Source organism: Homo sapiens, chromosome 11, assembly GCF_000001405.40.
Source record: "Homo sapiens chromosome 11, GRCh38.p14 Primary Assembly".
In the NCBI taxonomy this organism is placed as follows: Eukaryota; Metazoa; Chordata; class Mammalia; order Primates; family Hominidae; genus Homo; species Homo sapiens.
Genome location: NC_000011.10, coordinates 117,418,423 through 117,435,872, shown reverse-complemented (window position 1 = coordinate 117,435,872; position 17,450 = coordinate 117,418,423). Strand labels below are relative to the sequence as shown.

Genomic DNA, 17,450 nt, shown 5'->3' with positions numbered 1-17,450 from the left:
CCCACCCATGAGATGTTCTGCACAGCACCTGGCTCATAAGGGACATCTAATTCTATTCTTTGCCCTCATTCAGGCACCATTCCACCCATCAAGTCTGCTCAAGGTGAAGGGGATGATGTGAAGAAGCTGTTCACCATCGGCTGCCCTGTCATCCTGGCCACACTGGGGGTGGCACTGCTCTTCATCGTACGCAAGAAGAGGAAGGAGAAACGGCTGAAGCGACTCCGAGGTGGGGGAGCTTCCTATGGGCCTTCCAGGAGGGGGTGTTGGCTCTCAGCCACATTGTCCCCCCCCTTCCCTGGCTCACAGCACCATCTGGATGATACAGAGTGCCTGTGTCCCCTTGAAGGAGGAGCAGCCACTCAGACTTTCTGAAACCTCCTTAGTTCAGAAGGTTTCGTTCACCACTTCCTCCTCTATGCCCCCAAGACTTTGTGCCTGCCCCAGTCAGGGCTAATATTTAGAGGTACACACTGGTAAAGCCATGTTGATTGTTAAATATTTAAACATTTCCATGTTGGTTGGTAAACAGATGTTGCTCCTTTCCACACTGGATGCTTCATCCCCTCTCACGGGATCCCTGCAACTTTCCTAGGACCCATTCACTAAAGAATAGACCTGCAGGTAGTCTCTAGGACAATGCTCAGTTCTAACTGGGCAGTTTCTGCACCATGTCAGGTGTTAAATATTTTGAATATTATCCCCTTTTTCCATTACCTGATGCCACAGTCTACTGTGAATGGGTCTGATTTACCTCAGTTTTCCCACAGCCTAACACAGTGTCTGGCACCTACTAGTTGCTTCATAAATATACTTTCACTTATTTGGAAAACTTTTATTGGGTCTGCTTCATCATAGATACTGCAAGACTATAGAGATCAATAAAGAACGGCCAAGCCATACTCTTACAGAGTTTATCATCTAATGTGAGGAGCCAGGAGACAATAGTAGCACAGAAGAGGGAATGACTAATGCTCCCTATTGTGTTCAGGAATTGGGTAAATGGATGAATAGATGGTTCAATGGATGGTTGATGATTGGATGGATGAATGGATGGAAGGATGGATGGATGGATGGATGATTGGGTGGATAATTGAATGACTAGATGGGTGGTGAGTAGTTACATGGTTGGATGGTTGAATGGATCACTGAATAAATGGTTGAATGGAAGGATGTATAGATAGAAGGATGGCTGGATGGCTGAATAGATGGCTGGGTGTAAGGATGGTTGAATAAAAGGCTGAATGAATAGATGGGTGGATGGATGGATAAATTGATGGATTGTTGAATGGCCAGATAATGATTATATGAATAGTTGAACAGATAGGTAGATGATTGAACAAATGCTTGGATGGATGGATGACTATTCTGATAGATCGATGGATGACAAGATGGATGGATGGCTGGATGGAAAAACTATTGGAATTGTGGAATGATTGGGTGAATGGTTAAAGGAGTGGTTGGATGTAAGGTTTAACATATAAATATAAGAATGATTGAATGGATGTTGAATTCATGAGTGAATGGTTGAATGGATTACTGGTTGAATCAATGGGTGGATGGATAGACAGATGGATGGTTGAATAGGTGGATGATGAATTAATGGTTGGTTGGATGGATGAATGGATAATTGGATGGTAGGTGGTTAGATGGATGGATGGCTAGATCAGTGAATGGATGGATGGATGGATCAATGGATGGGTGAATGGATAGCCAGACAATTGGATGGTTAGATGCATGCATACAGCTATTTGGGATTCATTCTGACAGCTCATTCTCAGGTATCAGGGGTCTAATAAATTAACTAGGCCCTTTAATTCTCCTCTCTTCCAAATTCCTAACCTGAGAGTCCTGATCTTATTCAAGGCTCCTCTGAGACAAAGCAGGGGCCACAAAATCCATCCATGGACTTTTTGGGGACAGAGGCCCCAGAGGAGGAAGTGAAGCCTCTTGGTTGATATGAGAGTTTAATCATCTGGGGCTTCCCATTGACCACCTCTACTACATCCTCCACTCTCTCCTCTCCACAAGATATAACTGAAGATAAATCTTCCACTGATATCCATTTCCAGCCTGTTATGGTGTTGTGTTTAAGCAGAGTCAATTCATGAAGCAGATGAGGCACTTGCTATGCCCCCAGTGCTTTGGGAAGGTTCTCTCAATTAGATAAAATTTGAAGAAAGGAAAACAGACTTGAGCCAAATCCTGAATTTGGAGCAGTGAAACCGCGTCATGTTTTGGGCTGTTTTGTAGGTCCTTACATTTCTCCTTCTGCTTCTTAGGAGACCAGCCCTGGCCCCATTTTAAGGAATTCTCCACCTTGTTTCCCATGCCTCTCCCATTGTCATCCTGTTCAAACTTCATTCTCACCCAGCCCTCCTCTCCCTCTACTGTTTTGCAGATGCAAAGAGTTTGGCAGAAATGTTGATAAGGTGGGTATCACCAAGCTGCTTCCTTTCTCCTCCCTTCTCCCCTCTGTCCTGAGGAGGACCCAGGAGCCTCGCTCTGAACTCCCAGAATAGGAGGCAGGCTTCTAAAATCCCACTGTCCTGCAGAGCCCCCTTCCCCAACCCCTTATGGCTGCTGAGCCACCACCTCCAGTCTTTCTCCCCACAGCAAGAACAATAGAAGCTTTGACACCCCTGTGAAAGGGCCACCCCAGGGCCCACGGCTACACATTGACATCCCCAGGGTCCAGCTGCTCATCGAGGACAAAGAAGGCATCAAGCAACTGGGTGAGTGACAGGTGCCACAAGTTCCCTGTCCTGCTGGGTGTGCTTCCCCAGGCTACAACCCATGGAAGTCAAACACCAACCCTCATGGCAGTGCCCAGGGTTCTGGCAGTAGCCCCATCAACCACTCAACAACCTTAGAACTCACTGTGGCTTCTCTCAAGGGCTAATTTTCCTCCTCTGTCCAACGGAGGGAATTGCTGGCCTTTCTGTGACTCAACATTGGATAAAGTCTGGGTTGGTGGGTCATGCCTGTTATCCCAGCACTTCGGGAGGCCAAGGAGGGAGGATCACTTGAGGCCAGAAGTTCGAGACAAGCCTGGGCAACATAGTGAGATCCCATTTCTACCACAAAAAAAAAAAAAAATAGCCAGGCATGACACATCCTGTAGTCTCAACTACTCAGAAGGTTGAGGTAGGAGGATAGCTTGAGCCCAGGAGATTGAGGCGGCTGCAGTGAGCAGTGATCACAATTAAGCCTGGGCAACAGAGTGAGACCCTGTCTCAAAAAAACAAACAAACAAATCCACAAACAAAAAACACATTGGATAAAGACAAAGAGAAATTCAGTCACATCCAAAAGAGCTTTAAAAAACAATTGTAAAGGACTCCCAGTAATTGTCCTTCTTTCCCCAGGAGATGACAAGGCCACCATCCCTGTGACAGATGCTGAGTTCAGCCAAGCTGTCAACCCACAGAGCTTCTGTACTGGCGTCTCCTTGCACCACCCAACCCTCATCCAGAGCACAGGACCCCTCATCGACATGTCTGACATCCGGCCAGGAACCAGTACGCATTATCCCCAGGGAGACAGCCCTTTTCCCAACCGGGGTGGCTTGGGCATAGCATGACACAGAGGTGGTGTTTTTTTTTAAAGGGAGGAGGGAGCTTAATGGAATAGAATGCAAAAATGGAAAGCACTGGAATGAGCGTCTGGAGACCTCAACTGCAGATTTACTAACTGTGACCTTGGGCGTATCACTAACTTTATCTCTCTGGGCCTGTTTCCTTACCTAGAAATTTTGAGAGTATTGGGTATTCGTGTTCTCCAAGGGTCTTTCTATCTCTAGCACCGTGTATCTGGACATAGGATAGAACACATCAAGGACTGTAGGGAATGAATGGACAGTCAGGAGGCAGCAGGAAAGGACATCACATTCTCCCCCAGGTGGAAGGAAAAGATGGGGTGGGCGGGGAGAATGCCCTCCACTGCCCCCTCCCCAACCTTGACTCGATTGCTCTTCTCCTCTGGGGACAGCGATGTGGTTAGGAAAGGCAGCATTCCCAAGGGCGCTTCTGTGGCTGCATCTGCCTCTTCCCTTGCTCCCCCCTGCCCTTTCTGGTAAGTGCCAGCTGCCCAAGCCTGGGTGCCTTTGGTTGGAGGATGCAATTTCTTGCTTCTGTCTGTGCAGATCCAGTGTCCAGGAAGAATGTGAAGTCAGCCCACAGCACCCGGAACCGGTACTCAAGCCAGTGGACCCTGACCAAGTGCCAGGCCTCCACACCTGCCCGCACCCTCACCTCCGACTGGCGCACCGTGGGCTCCCAGCATGGTGTCACGGTCACTGAGAGTGACAGCTACAGTGCCAGCCTGTCCCAGGACACAGGTGTGCCTAAGGCCCTGCTGGCATCCTGAACACCTCCCCCCAGTTCCCCATCATTCACCTTCACCTTCTATTCTTCCCAGCTTCTACCCACCAGCTCATGGGGCCCAAGGCACAAGTCAGTTTCATGTCTAGCTGGTCACTGACCCACTGTGCAGCTGGGACAAAAACACTTGACCTCACTGAGCTCTACTTAGTCAGGGAGTTAATTTTGCTTTCCCAAAAACTGTCAGAGAAAATGGTACACATGATGTTCATTGGAGAAAGGGCTGAATGTTCCAGGGGATGGTTGCTTATTTTCAAGAATGAAAGGTGTTCTGCCCTTCATGAGCCAAAGATCCTACTTCTGCCACCACTGCCACCTTCACGGGATCTTCTCAGCCTGGTGCCCTCCATGGCCAGACTTACAGATGGCTGCTGGGGTTACGGGCAGGGGAAGTGCTCAGTCAGTCTCACTTATACCCTCCTCCCCGTAACCCACCCCTTTCCTCTTAACTCCCCAGACAAAGGAAGGAACAGCATGGTGTCCACTGAGAGTGCCTCTTCCACCTACGAGGAGCTGGCCCGGGCCTATGAGCATGCCAAGCTGGAGGAGCAGCTGCAGCACGCCAAGTTTGAGATCACCGAGTGCTTCATCTCTGACAGTTCCTCTGACCAGATGACCACAGGCACCAACGAGAACGCCGACAGCATGACATCCATGAGCACACCCTCAGAGCCTGGCATCTGCCGCTTTACCGCCTCACCACCCAAGCCCCAGGATGCGGACCGGGGCAAAAACGTGGCTGTGCCCATCCCTCACCGGGCCAACAAGAGTGAGTGCTCAGACCACCTCCCAGGCAGTGCCCCCCCGCCCCCTGGCCCCAGCCCCATGAGCCCTGGCTAGATCTAGTTCTGCCAGCACCAGGATCATGCCAGCCCAGCTTGGCTCCTTGGCAGTGCAGGGTGGTACCAACAGCAAGGACTTAGGAGCAGGCAGATCAGGGCCCACATCCTGGCTTAACCTCTTCCTATGTCTGTGGCCTTGGGCAAGTCATTTAACCTCTGTGGCCTTAAGTTTCTCATTTGTAAAATGCCAACGATAGTATCTACTTTGCATTGTCATAATGGGCATTAGAAATGATATACATCCCCAGCGTGTTGTAAGGCCTCATTCATTCGGTAGTGAGCATCCCCTTAATCTGAAGCTGTGCCAGGATGGAAACAGATCCCTTCAGGGTCAGCTGCCCAAGGGCCTCTGGTCTCAATGCTGTTTGAATTTAATCCAGACCCAAACAAACAATCCTGGCAGCTCCACCCACCATGGTCATACCTCTCAGTAGGCAGTGACCTGGCCTGGCTGGGAACCATCTGACCCCACGGGCCTGGCCGGAGCATATGCCCTTAGAGGCTGGCAGGGCAGGGCTAGGATCAGCAGGGGGAGTCTATCAGCAGATGCTGGGGTCACAGCGTGCAAAGCCCAGACTATCAAACAATGCAGTCTGGTCTGCTTAGCACTGGCCATGCTAATTGAGGCAGGGGGCGGGGCTTTCTGGGTCATGGAAAGAAGAGCCTGGAACAATGGAAAGACTGTGGAGACTGTGACCCTGAATGACACCCCCACCCCTTTTAGCTGTGCAAATTTAGGCAAATGATTTAATCTCTCTGAACCTCAGTTTCCTCACTTGTAAAGTGCAGACAGGTATTAACCAATCCTAGGGGCTGTCGTGAGGATTCAATAAGAAAATCTAAGGAAAATGCCTGGCCCAGCTCCCCGGGGGAAGAGGCCCATTTGCAGGCAGGGTGCCCATGGAGCACGGGGGGTCAGGCGGTGGAGGTCTTAGAAGCAAGTCACATGGAGGCAGTTTAAGAAATAAGGAACTAGGTTGGGTGCGGCGGCTCATGCCTGTAATCCCAGCACTTTGGGAGGCCAAGGCAGGCGGATCACCTGAGATCAGGAGTTCCAGAGCAGCCTGGCCAACATGGCAAAACCCCATCTCTACTAAAAAAATACAGAAATTAGCTGGGCATGGTGGCACGTGCCTGTAATCCCAGCTACTCGGGAAGCGGAGGTTGCAGTGAGCCGAGATCATGCCACTGCACTCCAGCCTGGATGACAGAGCGAGACTCCGTCTCAAAAAAAAAGAAATTAGGAACTTTCCACCTGGAGAAGAGGGGACCGAGGGGGAGGAGAGGGGACATGTAGCTGACTTCAAACATCTGGAAGGCTGCCATGGGAAAGAGGGGAACGCCTTACTCTGTGAGACCTCAGAGAACAGAACCAGGCTCCATGGTGGGGAGGCGACAGGGAATGATATTCCTTTCCTCCTCAGGGTAAAGAAAAGCTTTCCACCAGCCAGAGCCATTAGGACATCCTCGTCCTTAGCAGTAGTGAGCTCTCCACTACCGGAAGCTGACCAGCCTCTAGTGACCATTGAACAACAAGCATCCATGTACTGGGCAGCTGTTATCTGCACCAGCCACTGTAGCAAAGCACTTTACCTCCCTCACCTCATTCGCTCCTCACAATAATCCTGTGGGGAAGTAAGATCATCCCCACTTCACAGATAAGGAAACGAAGGCTCAGAAGGGCCAAGTACCCGACCTTTCCGCTACTCTTTATTGCCCCCCAGTGGAGGGGCCCCTATGCCAAATCAGAGAGAAGACTGGGGGCAGGGGATGGGGTGGGGGCTGAACGAGCTGCTTCCAGAGGGCTATGACTCTCTGTAACATCCTCTGCCTCTGTGATTCCAGGTGACTACTGCAACCTGCCCCTGTATGCCAAGTCAGAGGCCTTCTTTCGAAAGGCAGATGGACGTGAGCCCTGCCCCGTGGTCCCACCCCGTGAGGCCTCCATCCGGAACCTGGCTCGAACCTACCACACCCAGGCTCGCCACCTGACCCTGGACCCTGCCAGCAAGTCCTTGGGCCTTCCCCACCCAGGGGCCCCCGCTGCCGCCTCCACAGCCACCTTACCTCAGAGGACTCTGGCCATGCCAGCCCCCCCAGCCGGCACAGCCCCCCCAGCCCCCGGCCCCACCCCTGCTGAGCCACCCACCGCCCCCAGCGCTGCCCCTCCGGCCCCCAGCACCGAGCCTCCACGAGCCGGGGGCCCACACACCAAAATGGGGGGCTCCAGGGACTCGCTTCTCGAGATGAGCACATCGGGGGTAGGGAGGTCTCAGAAGCAGGGGGCCGGGGCCTACTCCAAATCCTACACCCTGGTGTAGGGCCCGCAGGAAGAGCAGCCACGCCTGGACCGCGCCGCGCCGCAGCCCCACACGCCAGCTCGGCTGTTTTTCTGCATTATTTATATTCAACTGACAGACAAAAACCAACCAACGACAAAACAAAAACCCCCAATCATGAACGCCTGTACATAGAACTCTTTTGTACAAATGAAACTATTTTCTTCTTCTCCATGAAGCCAGGGCACAAAGAATTTGACAGTACAAGTCAAATCCCCCACCCCACAAAATATGTGTGGAGATATATATACATATATAGACAGACAGGAACGCGTCCACGAGCTATATATCTATATATTTCTCTCACCCTATTTTGAGACAGAGGCACAAAGACTCAGCAATTTTTTTCCCTCCTCCTCACCTTCCCCCCAGTCTAGGTGGTTTTGACAAAGACCAAAATCCCAACTCAGAGACACTGCATGCGATTTTACTGTTCCAAGAAAACCAGGAGTTGCTTCAATTTGCAGATGCTTATGTGTTAATACCTTTTTCTATGAAAAAAGACCCAGCGCCGTGTGCAATAAAGGTTATGTTTCTATGTGGTGGCTTTTTTCCCATCTGGCGAAGGCCAGCGGGGAGGGAGGAGAGAGCCCGACCCCAGGCCGTCTGTCTCTCATAAAGAGACTTTGTGAGAAGCCTGGGCTTTGGCTCAGTGCTCTAAGACTTTTAAAGGCTTGCAATTAGCCAAGGTGCCTCCTCTTCTGTTCTCAGAGCTGTGCTGGGCCCGCAAGGGGAACTAGGTCGGTGGCTTCGTGCAAACTCCTAAACCCCTCTGACCCACAGTGTCCTTACCTGTAAACGGAGGGAAGCTTGTAGCAGATGGAATGAGGCAACCTTGGCTCACCAAGCGCTGGGGAGCCTGGGATAGGGGAGGGGTTGCCTACTGGCTTCTTTCCTCCAAGAGAGTGCAGGGTAGCCAGGGGGCCAGGACTATACAAGACCAATAGCCCACAGTTGTGAAAGAGGTGCCTATCGGGAGCGGGGAAGAAGAGATTATCTATAGCTGGGGCACCAGGCCAAGGCCTAAAGTTCTGGGCTGACTCTTAGGACCAGATGAGGCCAGAGGGAGAAGAAGAGAAGTCGTCGGAGGTGAGAGGAGTGAGAGAAGCTCATGAAGGAGAGGGAATGGAGCTCAGCCAAAGAGAACCAGGTCAGCACATCAGGTACCTCACCTGGCTTCCAAGGAGTCAGCCAAGTGGAAGAAAAGGCGTCCACACGGAGGAGCAGGCAAGGTGCCGTGGGTGTCCAGAGGCCTGGTTTCTGATGAGAGGGTCCAGAGGGCATCACAGGAGGTGACAGGTGAGATGGACCTCCAGGGACTTGAAGGTTTGGAGAGGCAGAAGCAGGTGACTGGCCCCTGGGTGAAAAGGAAGTGCACCTAAGAAGTGCACAGGGGGCTCTTGAGCACTGCAATTGAGGCTGAGCTGTGGATCAGGAACCTGGAAGGAAGGTGAGTCTGGGACCCACCGCTCCCTAGGAGCTGAGAGGAGGAACTGGGAAGGGCTGGAGAAGGAGGGAGGAGTTTGTGCATGCAGGCAGCTGATACCTATCAGCCTGGGCCCCGGTGAGGCCGCACCTGGGATGCATGACCTTTCATAGAAGCATCTTCCGAATAGCAACTCATCCCACAAATTCTCTCTGAGCACCTAGAGTGTGTGGGATGCAGAGGAGTCCCTCGCATGAATAACTAGATTCCCGGGTCGGCACGGTGAGAGGGGAGGGGCAGAGATTCCGTACGCCTCGGTATTCCTAGGCTCATGAAGAAATGCTCATCTCAGCCCCCACACCCAGGACCCAGCCAAGAGAAGCAGCTAACGGCATCAGTTGAAAACCAAAGCTCTGCATTCCAGACACCTGGTGACAGCCCAGCTTCGTTCCATCTCTGGGAGGACGGAACGCCTCCCAAGGACGCGCACGCCATCTGCAGGTCGCCTCCAGAACTGCAGGCACAACGATCAAACCTGAGCTGTCCGCATAGAAGACCCCCAACCCCACCTCCCCTGCACACCAGATATTGGGCAAACAAACACGAATCAGAGCCACCTCCAACCAGCAAGAGGGAATGAAAAACTCCTCAGAGGCTAGAGGCGCAGAAGATAGAAGCAGCCTAAGGGCTCCGAAGGGGAACGCTGTCATGAAAATACATGACGGATCCCGATACTACGTGCCAGGTGCTGCTTGTAACCTCATTGCAGACTTGGGAGAAAGGTATCACGATTACCACGTGACAGGTGAGAAGGTTAGAGGAGCTAGAAGAGATGGGAATGAGATTTAAACTCATGAGCGTCCAATTCCTTAACTACTGAGCCATACTACCTGCTGTTCCACTGTTCAAAGATTAGAGTTTCAGTTCTTCCCCCAGGATGTTGCCAGGGGAAGAGTCCGCCAGGTCCAGGGAGCAAGCTGGACGCATGGGCAGAAAAACAGTTGAGGCAGGTGACCCAATATGCAGCACAGGATGGATCAAGGGCTCCAAAGTACTTTACCCTGGTGAGGGGCGGTGGTAGAAAAGGTGGAATTCAGCTCTGGGGAGCTGTTGGAGGTCTGGGACCTGAGGTGGACTCTGTAGGATGAGAAGGATTTGGAAAGGCAACAGAAAAGTAAGATGTGGGCCAGTCTAGCTTGTATTCCACTGGGCTAGGCCCCTTATTATAAAGCACAAAGTCTAGAAATTCAGGCATACTTGAGCAAAATCCACACGATTTTATTTGCTAATAATCTCTAACTTCAGTACGCTTTGCAGGGTTGTTTGAGACAGCATCTCACTCTGTCACCCAGGCTGGAGTGCAATGGTGTGATCACGGCTCACTGCAGCCTCGACCTTTCTGGCTCAAGTGATCTTCCTGCCTCAGCCCCTTGAGTAGCTGGGACTACAGGCACATGCCACCATGCTCGGCTAATTTTTGTACTTTTTTTTTTCCGTAGAGACAGGGTTTCACCATGTTGCCCAGGCTGGTCTCGAACTCCTGGACTCAAGCAATCCTCCCGCCTCAGCCTCCCAAAGTGCTGGGATTACAGGTGTGAGCCACTGCGCCAGGCCCTTAATATGTTTGTTAGCTAAACCACAAGCCTGCCTGTTTGATCCACACCCAGAAGCTAATTCACAAATCAGTGGCACTCCTGCTCCTCATTCATCCCCAGCTCATCCTCATTGAACTCTATGTATCTGGAACAGTCATCTTACACATTCACTTGCTCCTTTCCAAAACTCCACTTTGTCTACCATGGATAAGATGACCATCTGCCCTTGAGAGCCTTGATACTCTACATGTGGGTCACAGGCCAGTGGCACCAGCACCACCGTCACCTAGGAGCTTGTTGCAAATGCAAAAAAAATACCAGGCCTCACGCCAGAACCACTGAATCAGACTCTGCACTTCAGCAAAATCCCCAGGGGACCCATATGCACATCAACGTTTGAGAAACCCTCCTCTAGAAGACCTTCAGAGAGATTACCCCTTGTTCCCCCATTCTACCAACAACCAGAGCTAGACTAGTGGGTCTCAAACGTAGATGCACATCAGATTCACCTGAGGAGCTCGTTAAACAATACAGAAGCCCAGCTCTCACCAATCCTAACAGAATAGGAATTTGCTGGTATGCGGCCTAGGCTTTTTTTTTTTTTTTTTTTTGAGACAGGGACTTGCCCTGTAGCCCAGGCTGGAGTGCAGTGATGCTATCACGGCTCACTGCAGCCTCAATCTCCCCGACTCAGGTGATCCTCCTTCCTCAGCCTCTCGAGTAACTGGGACTATAGGCACTTGCCACCACACCTGGCTAGTTTTTGTATTTTTAGTAGAGAGGGGGTTTCATCATGTTGCCTAGGCTGGTATTGAACTCCTGAGCTTAAGCAATCGCCCACCTCGGCCTCCCAAAGTGCTGGGATTACAGGCATGAGCCACTGCACCTGACCAACATTTCTATTTTTATGGTGGTAAAAGATACATAAAATTCGCCATTTTAACCATTTTAAAATGTACAATTCAGCAGCATTAAGTATATTCACCTTGTTGTAAATCACTATCCATTTCCAGAACTTTCTCATCATTCCAGAAAGAAACTTTGTACCCATTAATCAATAACTCCCCATCTTCCTCTCTCTCAGCACCTGGCAACCACCATTCTACTTTCTGTCTGTATGAACCTGCCTATTCTGGGTACCTTGTATAAGTGGAATCATACAATATGTGTCCTTTTGGTTCTGGCTTATTTCACTTAGCATCATGTCTTCAAGCTGCATCCATGTTGCAGCATGTGTCAGAATTCCACTCCTGTTTGAGGATATTCCATTATTTACGACATGTTGCTTCTCCATTCATTTCCTCTCCTGGTGGACACGTGGGTTGCTTCTGCCTCTCAGCTATTGTGAATAATGCTGCTATGAACACAGGTGTACAAGGATCTGTTTGAGCCCCTCTTTTCAATTCTTTTGGGAATATAGCCAGGACTGGAACTGCTGAATCACATGCTCATTCTATGTCTTACTTTTTGAGGAACGAACAAACTGTTTTCCCCCAGGCATCTGTATTTTTTGTTTGTTTGTTTGTTTGTTTTTGAGACGGAGTCTCAATCTGTAGCCCAGGCTGGAGTGCAGTGGCACCATCTCGGCTCACTGCAACCTCCACCTCCCGGGTTCAAGCAATTATCCTGCCTCAGCCTCCTGAGTAGCTGGGATTACAGGCATGCGCCACCACACCCAGCTAATTTTTGTATCTTTGGTAGAGACAGGGTTTCACCATGTTGGCCAGGCTGATCTTGAACTCCTGACCTTGTGGCATCTGTATTTTTAACAAGCGAAATGATACCCAAGTATTTGTTCATTCACCAAATACCCAGAAGCACTTCCAATGATCTGGCACTGAGCTGGGCACTGGAGATGCAAAGGCCCTGTGGGTCTCTTCCTGCGCTCAAAGGCTCACTCCCCGGAGTGTGCGCAAACTGGCGGAGGCGGAAGGAGGGAAGCCTGGGTCAGGGAACAGCAGGGAGGGTTTGCTGTCTGCCAAAGCCTCATGATCCTCCACAGTGCACAGTTGTTGCGGGGAAGTCGCTACGCATCCCGTGACTACAGTTCCAGGCCCCCGATTCTCAGAGAAGGCGATGAGACTGAGCTTTGACCAGCGGAATGTGGCATAAGTGATACACGCTACTTTCAGGTCCAGCTCATAAAAACTTCCCTGGCCACCCTCTGCTCTCTCCAACTGTAAGTCAATGCCCAAGGTGAACTTGGAAGCCACTTATTGAAGATGGCAGATCCTCTATCACCCTGGCTTATACATCGATGTAGCGCAGAGGCCCCTCTATCCCCTTCAATGCCAGCTGGACTTTATGTGAGCAAGAAATAAACTTGCAGTAAGCACCGATACTTTGGAGTTTATTTTACAACAATTAGCATCATCTTAATTTATGCAGGAGATGAAGGGGAACTTGGCTCCCCATAGAAATTCTCCCTTGATAGATCAGGCCCAGGGCATCCTCCCCCGCACCGCCTGCCATACCATGTCACCCACCATACCATGTCACCTCCTCTTACCCTACATATTGGATTCCTATACAGGTAAAGGGTGGGAAAGGCAAAGGGAGACGCTGGTGAGCTTAGAGAGGAGGAGGGCATCTGTGTGTCTGTAGGAGAAGGGTGGGAGAACCAGGCTGAGCATGAACCCTGAGTCAGGGCTCTGTCCTTCCTCCCAGAATCCATGTCCTCTTCTGGGCAATGACAACAATACTCTAGGCCGAAGGAGGAATAGATGCCAGCTGGATTACCCTGGAGGTGATCCATACTTGGTTTTAGTGTCTCTAAGAATCGCACAATCTCAGGACTCAAAGAGACCTTCAACGCCACCTGGTCCACGCTTCCACCCAAATTGGGAATTCCATCTGCAATCAGCAAGAGTGGTCTGGCCTTCCCGTGCACACCTCCTGATGGAGAACTCATCACTTCCCCAGCCAGCACATCTCACCTGTGACAGCTCTAACAGCAAAACCTCCCTCACACTAAGCTTGGGTGGCCCCTCCAACTTCTACTCACAAGGCTCGGTACTGCCACTCCTGGGGGGCACCACAAAACAAGTCTCATCCCTTCCCAACTCAGAAGCCCTCCACAGATGGTATTTGAACATCGTCCTCAGCAGACAGGCTCCCCAAGGGCAGAGAAGGGTTCCACTGTCTCTTCCAGAGAAGGGACAGTGCCTGACTTAATAGGAGCACAACATATGTTAGACATAGATGAACAAAGGGTAAACAGTGGGAGAAACGGGCAAGGAGTAGACCAGTGAAGGCCGAGATCTCCTGAAACATTGGTTCTCTCCGCATAGTGTCCCCAAGTTACAAGAAAACAACACAACAGAATACCATCATGCCTGCTGCCGTTTGCTGAGAGTCTACTTGAGTCAAGCACCCTGATAACCACTTAGCACGGATACTCTCCTAGTTTTACCACTACCCTGTAAAAAAGAGTAACTCCTATAAGCACAAAACCCAAGTGGTGGTGTCTCAGGGCCGTAGTGCCAGTCAAAGAACCTCAATCCACTCAGCCACCAAAACGAAAGTTTTAAATAACTCAAGTTATCTGCTTTTGTTTTTGTGATCCTGAAGGGGTCCGAAGAGCAGATGTAAGTGACACCCGCTGACACCCTACGGAGCCTGTGCCTCCCACATCCCCCCACACACTGCCTGCTCTTCTCCAGCCCTGCTCAGCTCCGCCCTCCTCTCCTCTGGGGAATGTTCTCTCACATTCATTTCCCCCCATTTTCCATTAGGAAACAGCAACAGTTGGGCATAGGGGAGGCAGAGGAGGTGGGAGAAACCGCAGGCAAGGCAGGCCTCCTCTTTGGTGATTCGTGGGAAGGATCTATGGATGGGAAATTAATGTGTTTGTAATTTCTGCCCTGAAGATGTGTGATCTCCATTTTATTGGCTAAGAAAGAAGTCAAAGAGGTCAGGTGACTTGTACAAGGCCACTCAGCCGGCAAGAGGCATCAGCCAGGGTTTGAATTCCAAAGCCGGTGCTCACCAAACCACTTCGGATCCTTTCCAGAAAGCCAGGCGGCCCCCAGAAGGCGCCATGTGTAGAGTTCCTACTATGTGGCGGGCACTGCGATGGAAACGCAGGGGCTGCGGAGTCAATCCTGCTGCTCCCTTGCCAGCTCTGTGACCTCGGGAAAGCACCTTCGCCCTCATGGGCCTCAATTTCCGCTTCTATGAAATGCGAGAATAACTCCCATGCTGCCAGGTTGATAAGACTGAAAGGAAATAATGAGGTTAAAAAGCTTTTAACTATGAAATGGGGATTAGACAAGATACAAACCAGCAGACCAGAGGGTCAGATTCCAGAGAAGCCAGGATTTGCCTCATCTGCCCAGGTTTTGTTGTTGCTGTTGTTGTTTCTTCTTTTCTTTCTTTCTTTTTTTTTTTTTTTTTGGTCAGGGTTTTGCTGTTGCCCAGGCTGGAGTACAGTGGCGCAATCATGGTGCGCTCAACCTGGAATTCCCGGCCTCAAGCGATCCTCCCACCTCAGCCTCCCGAGTTGCTGGGACTACAGGCGAGGAACACCATGCCCAGCTTTTGTTTGTTTGTTTGTTTTCCTGCCCAGATTTGTGTCCAGGGAAGCAGGTGGGATATGAAGGTCCCTTGCTGCCCTAGAGAACCTACTGAAGCTCACCAAGAGGATTCACAGCCTGTGCAGAAAGGGAAGCTCTGAAGGCCTCTGATGTCCTCAAATTCACTGTCATCAGTCCCAACCAGGAGCTAGCACTGGGCCCCCAACTCCTGGGAGTCACCAGAAAGGGTGGACGGCGCAGTAAAATGCCACCCCATCCATGCTGGGCCAATGCCTCACCTCCCCCAGGAGGCATCACCCAGATGGTGAGCTCTGCCCTAAGACGTCCTGCCTCTGTGGGTGCCATTCTTTCTCTCTTGAGCTCCACCCTTCCTGGGCCCAGTGGAGGTGGATGGCACCATTCCAGGCATGGCCCTGCGTGTCCCCAGCTGAGCCCCGCCAGGGCCTTTGTGACAAGTGGCATCTCCAGTACGCGCTGACTGGACACATCCGGGCTCAGCACCCGGGCAGCCACCACCAGCCACCACTGCGGCCAGCCGCCTCAGACCAATGCCCCGCACGAAAGCCAGGCCTCCAGCCACCATGGGGCTCTGTCGGCAACACCAAGGGAGAGGGGACTTGGCAGGTCCTGCAAGCTTAGACTACAAGTCTCCCATCCCCACCCTCCCCCAGGCATTTCTACAGTGTCTGACTCTGCCTGACACCCTGGGTCCTGCCCACCTCAGCCTCCTTCCCCAGGAGGCACAGGTCCCACGCCTGCCAGGCTCTGACACCCCTCCATGGGGATTCAGAGACTAGAGGAGTGCACGGTGGATTTTGGGGCACCAGGGGTGTCACCGCAGCCCAGCCCAGACTCCAAGGAACCGCCTGGGTCAGATCGCCCTTGAGCCAAGCAGGGATTCCTTTTAGGAGTTAGGGCCGTTGTAGGGCTTCAGGGTGTCCCTGGGCAGAGCTTAAGAAAAGGGTAGGGTCTGCAATGCCAGGGAGTGGGAGGGAATTCATCACGGGCCTTGGGTGCAGGAATACCTACTGCTTAGGGAGGTCTCCTGTGTGCTTGGCACTTCCCAGGCGCTGGGGGCATGGGGTGAGGAGAACAGGCAGCCCAGCAGATGTTCCAGGGTGCATGGAATGAGCTCATTCTCAGATGAAGACACCGACGCTGAGTCGCTGGACAGTCACTTGTCCAGAGCACAGAGGTGGTCAATGGCAGAGCCACAGATCTGTCTGACTGCTCCCAGGAGGAGGTTTCTGAGGAGGGGAGCACCCGGGCACTACCCTTACCATCTTCTCTTTGTAGCTACAACAGAGTGGATGCTGTTGTGGCCCCAGGGCCTGCCAACTTTCTCCAAGAGGAAATGGGGCTGAGGATGAGACAACAGCTATTTATTTGAAGGCACCACCGCTGTCTTGCCTTTAGTCAGACTCTGCCGGCCTCTGAAGCCGAAGAGAGCACGTAGGAGGAGGAGAAAGGGTAGGTAGAGCAGAAGGCCTTCCCTGGGGAGACCTTCCCTCTTCACACAAAGAAAGAGGCTGCCCCGGACCTCCTTCTCAGCCCCCAACCTCGCCCTCCAATCCCTGTGCCGGGAGGGAGGGCGCATACTCATGAGGGTGTGCAGTGTCCACACAAGTGCCTACGTGAACAACTGCACTACAGGCCATTGGTTTGCACTCTCATTCTGCAACCTAATAGCTTAACCTTCCAAGGCTCTCTCGCTTTCTTTTTTCATCTTGTAAAATGGAGATCATTGTCTACCTCATAAGATTGCTATGAGGATCTTTGAGAGCTGTAGATAGGTAAAGGCCTTTGCACTGGCTGGTAGTAAGCAAACAGAGGCTACTTTATTAGTAAGAGGCCCTGTGAGAATCCAAATGTGCATGCACTACACTTTAACCCCTGCATGTGCATACACTCATGTATGTTCATAAGGGGGACAAGCAGCGGACGGGAGAGGGTTCTGTGACCCTATTTCATTCTATCATGTGGAAGAAGTAAAGGGACATTTTTTTCTGTGTGAGTCCACAGCAGAACTGTAAGAGAAGACTCCCCCTCAGCCAGTTCAGAACTGCTCAACAGCAGGACTGGCTACCTCAGGGGTGATGAGCACCTTGTCCTTGGAGGCATTCAAGCAGAGGTTCAACAAACACTTGCATTTCCACAACACTCTGTAGTTTACAAGGTGCTTCACCCAAAGTACTTGTCCTAGGTTATTTCATTCACCCTGTGTGTGTGTGGTATCTTCTGCTCCATTATACAAATAAGGAAACTGAGGCTTAGGCAGAGGATCATTTCCCAAAGATACTCCACTAGTGCCTGGGCGTCAGAATTTGAGCC

The 17,450-nt window shown here is 51.4% G+C and overlaps 1 protein-coding gene across 7 annotated transcripts in view, besides 5 other annotated features; it reads left to right on the top strand.

The window, feature by feature from the left end:
• DSCAML1 (DS cell adhesion molecule like 1) overlaps positions 1-8,101 on the top strand; it is a 389,743-nt gene extending 381,642 nt beyond the window's left edge. For all 7 annotated transcript variants that reach the window (XM_011542918.2, NM_020693.4, XM_011542917.3 and 4 more), the window contains 7 exons: positions 74-229; positions 2,402-2,432; positions 2,617-2,735; positions 3,369-3,521; positions 4,145-4,339; positions 4,840-5,151; positions 7,070-8,101. In XM_011542918.2, coding sequence (XP_011541220.1) covers positions 74-229; positions 2,402-2,432; positions 2,617-2,735; positions 3,369-3,521; positions 4,145-4,339; positions 4,840-5,151; positions 7,070-7,545 — 1,442 coding nt within the window. In that variant the 3' untranslated portion in view covers positions 7,546-8,101. The remainder of the gene's footprint in view (positions 1-73; positions 230-2,401; positions 2,433-2,616; positions 2,736-3,368; positions 3,522-4,144; positions 4,340-4,839; positions 5,152-7,069) is intronic.
• Positions 449-498: an enhancer, noted in NCBI's record as "active region_5571". NCBI's record gives its function as "activates an Ori minimal core promoter by ATAC-STARR-seq in GM12878 lymphoblastoid cells {active_cell/tissue: GM12878}" and the evidence as "EXISTENCE:reporter gene assay evidence [ECO:0000049][PMID:35858748]".
• Positions 4,431-5,108: an enhancer, noted in NCBI's record as "H3K4me1 hESC enhancer chr11:117301481-117302158 (GRCh37/hg19 assembly coordinates)". NCBI's record gives its function as "activates a minimal SCP1, AML or CMV promoter by ChIP-STARR-seq in naive H9 embryonic stem cells {active_cell/tissue: H9 hESC(naive)}" and the evidence as "EXISTENCE:reporter gene assay evidence [ECO:0000049][PMID:30033119]".
• Positions 5,109-5,786: an enhancer, noted in NCBI's record as "H3K4me1 hESC enhancer chr11:117300803-117301480 (GRCh37/hg19 assembly coordinates)". NCBI's record gives its function as "activates a minimal SCP1, AML or CMV promoter by ChIP-STARR-seq in naive H9 embryonic stem cells {active_cell/tissue: H9 hESC(naive)}" and the evidence as "EXISTENCE:reporter gene assay evidence [ECO:0000049][PMID:30033119]".
• Positions 5,787-6,465: an enhancer, noted in NCBI's record as "H3K4me1 hESC enhancer chr11:117300124-117300802 (GRCh37/hg19 assembly coordinates)". NCBI's record gives its function as "activates a minimal SCP1, AML or CMV promoter by ChIP-STARR-seq in naive H9 embryonic stem cells {active_cell/tissue: H9 hESC(naive)}" and the evidence as "EXISTENCE:reporter gene assay evidence [ECO:0000049][PMID:30033119]".
• Positions 15,112-15,612: an enhancer, noted in NCBI's record as "H3K4me1 hESC enhancer chr11:117290977-117291477 (GRCh37/hg19 assembly coordinates)". NCBI's record gives its function as "activates a minimal SCP1, AML or CMV promoter by ChIP-STARR-seq in naive H9 embryonic stem cells {active_cell/tissue: H9 hESC(naive)}" and the evidence as "EXISTENCE:reporter gene assay evidence [ECO:0000049][PMID:30033119]".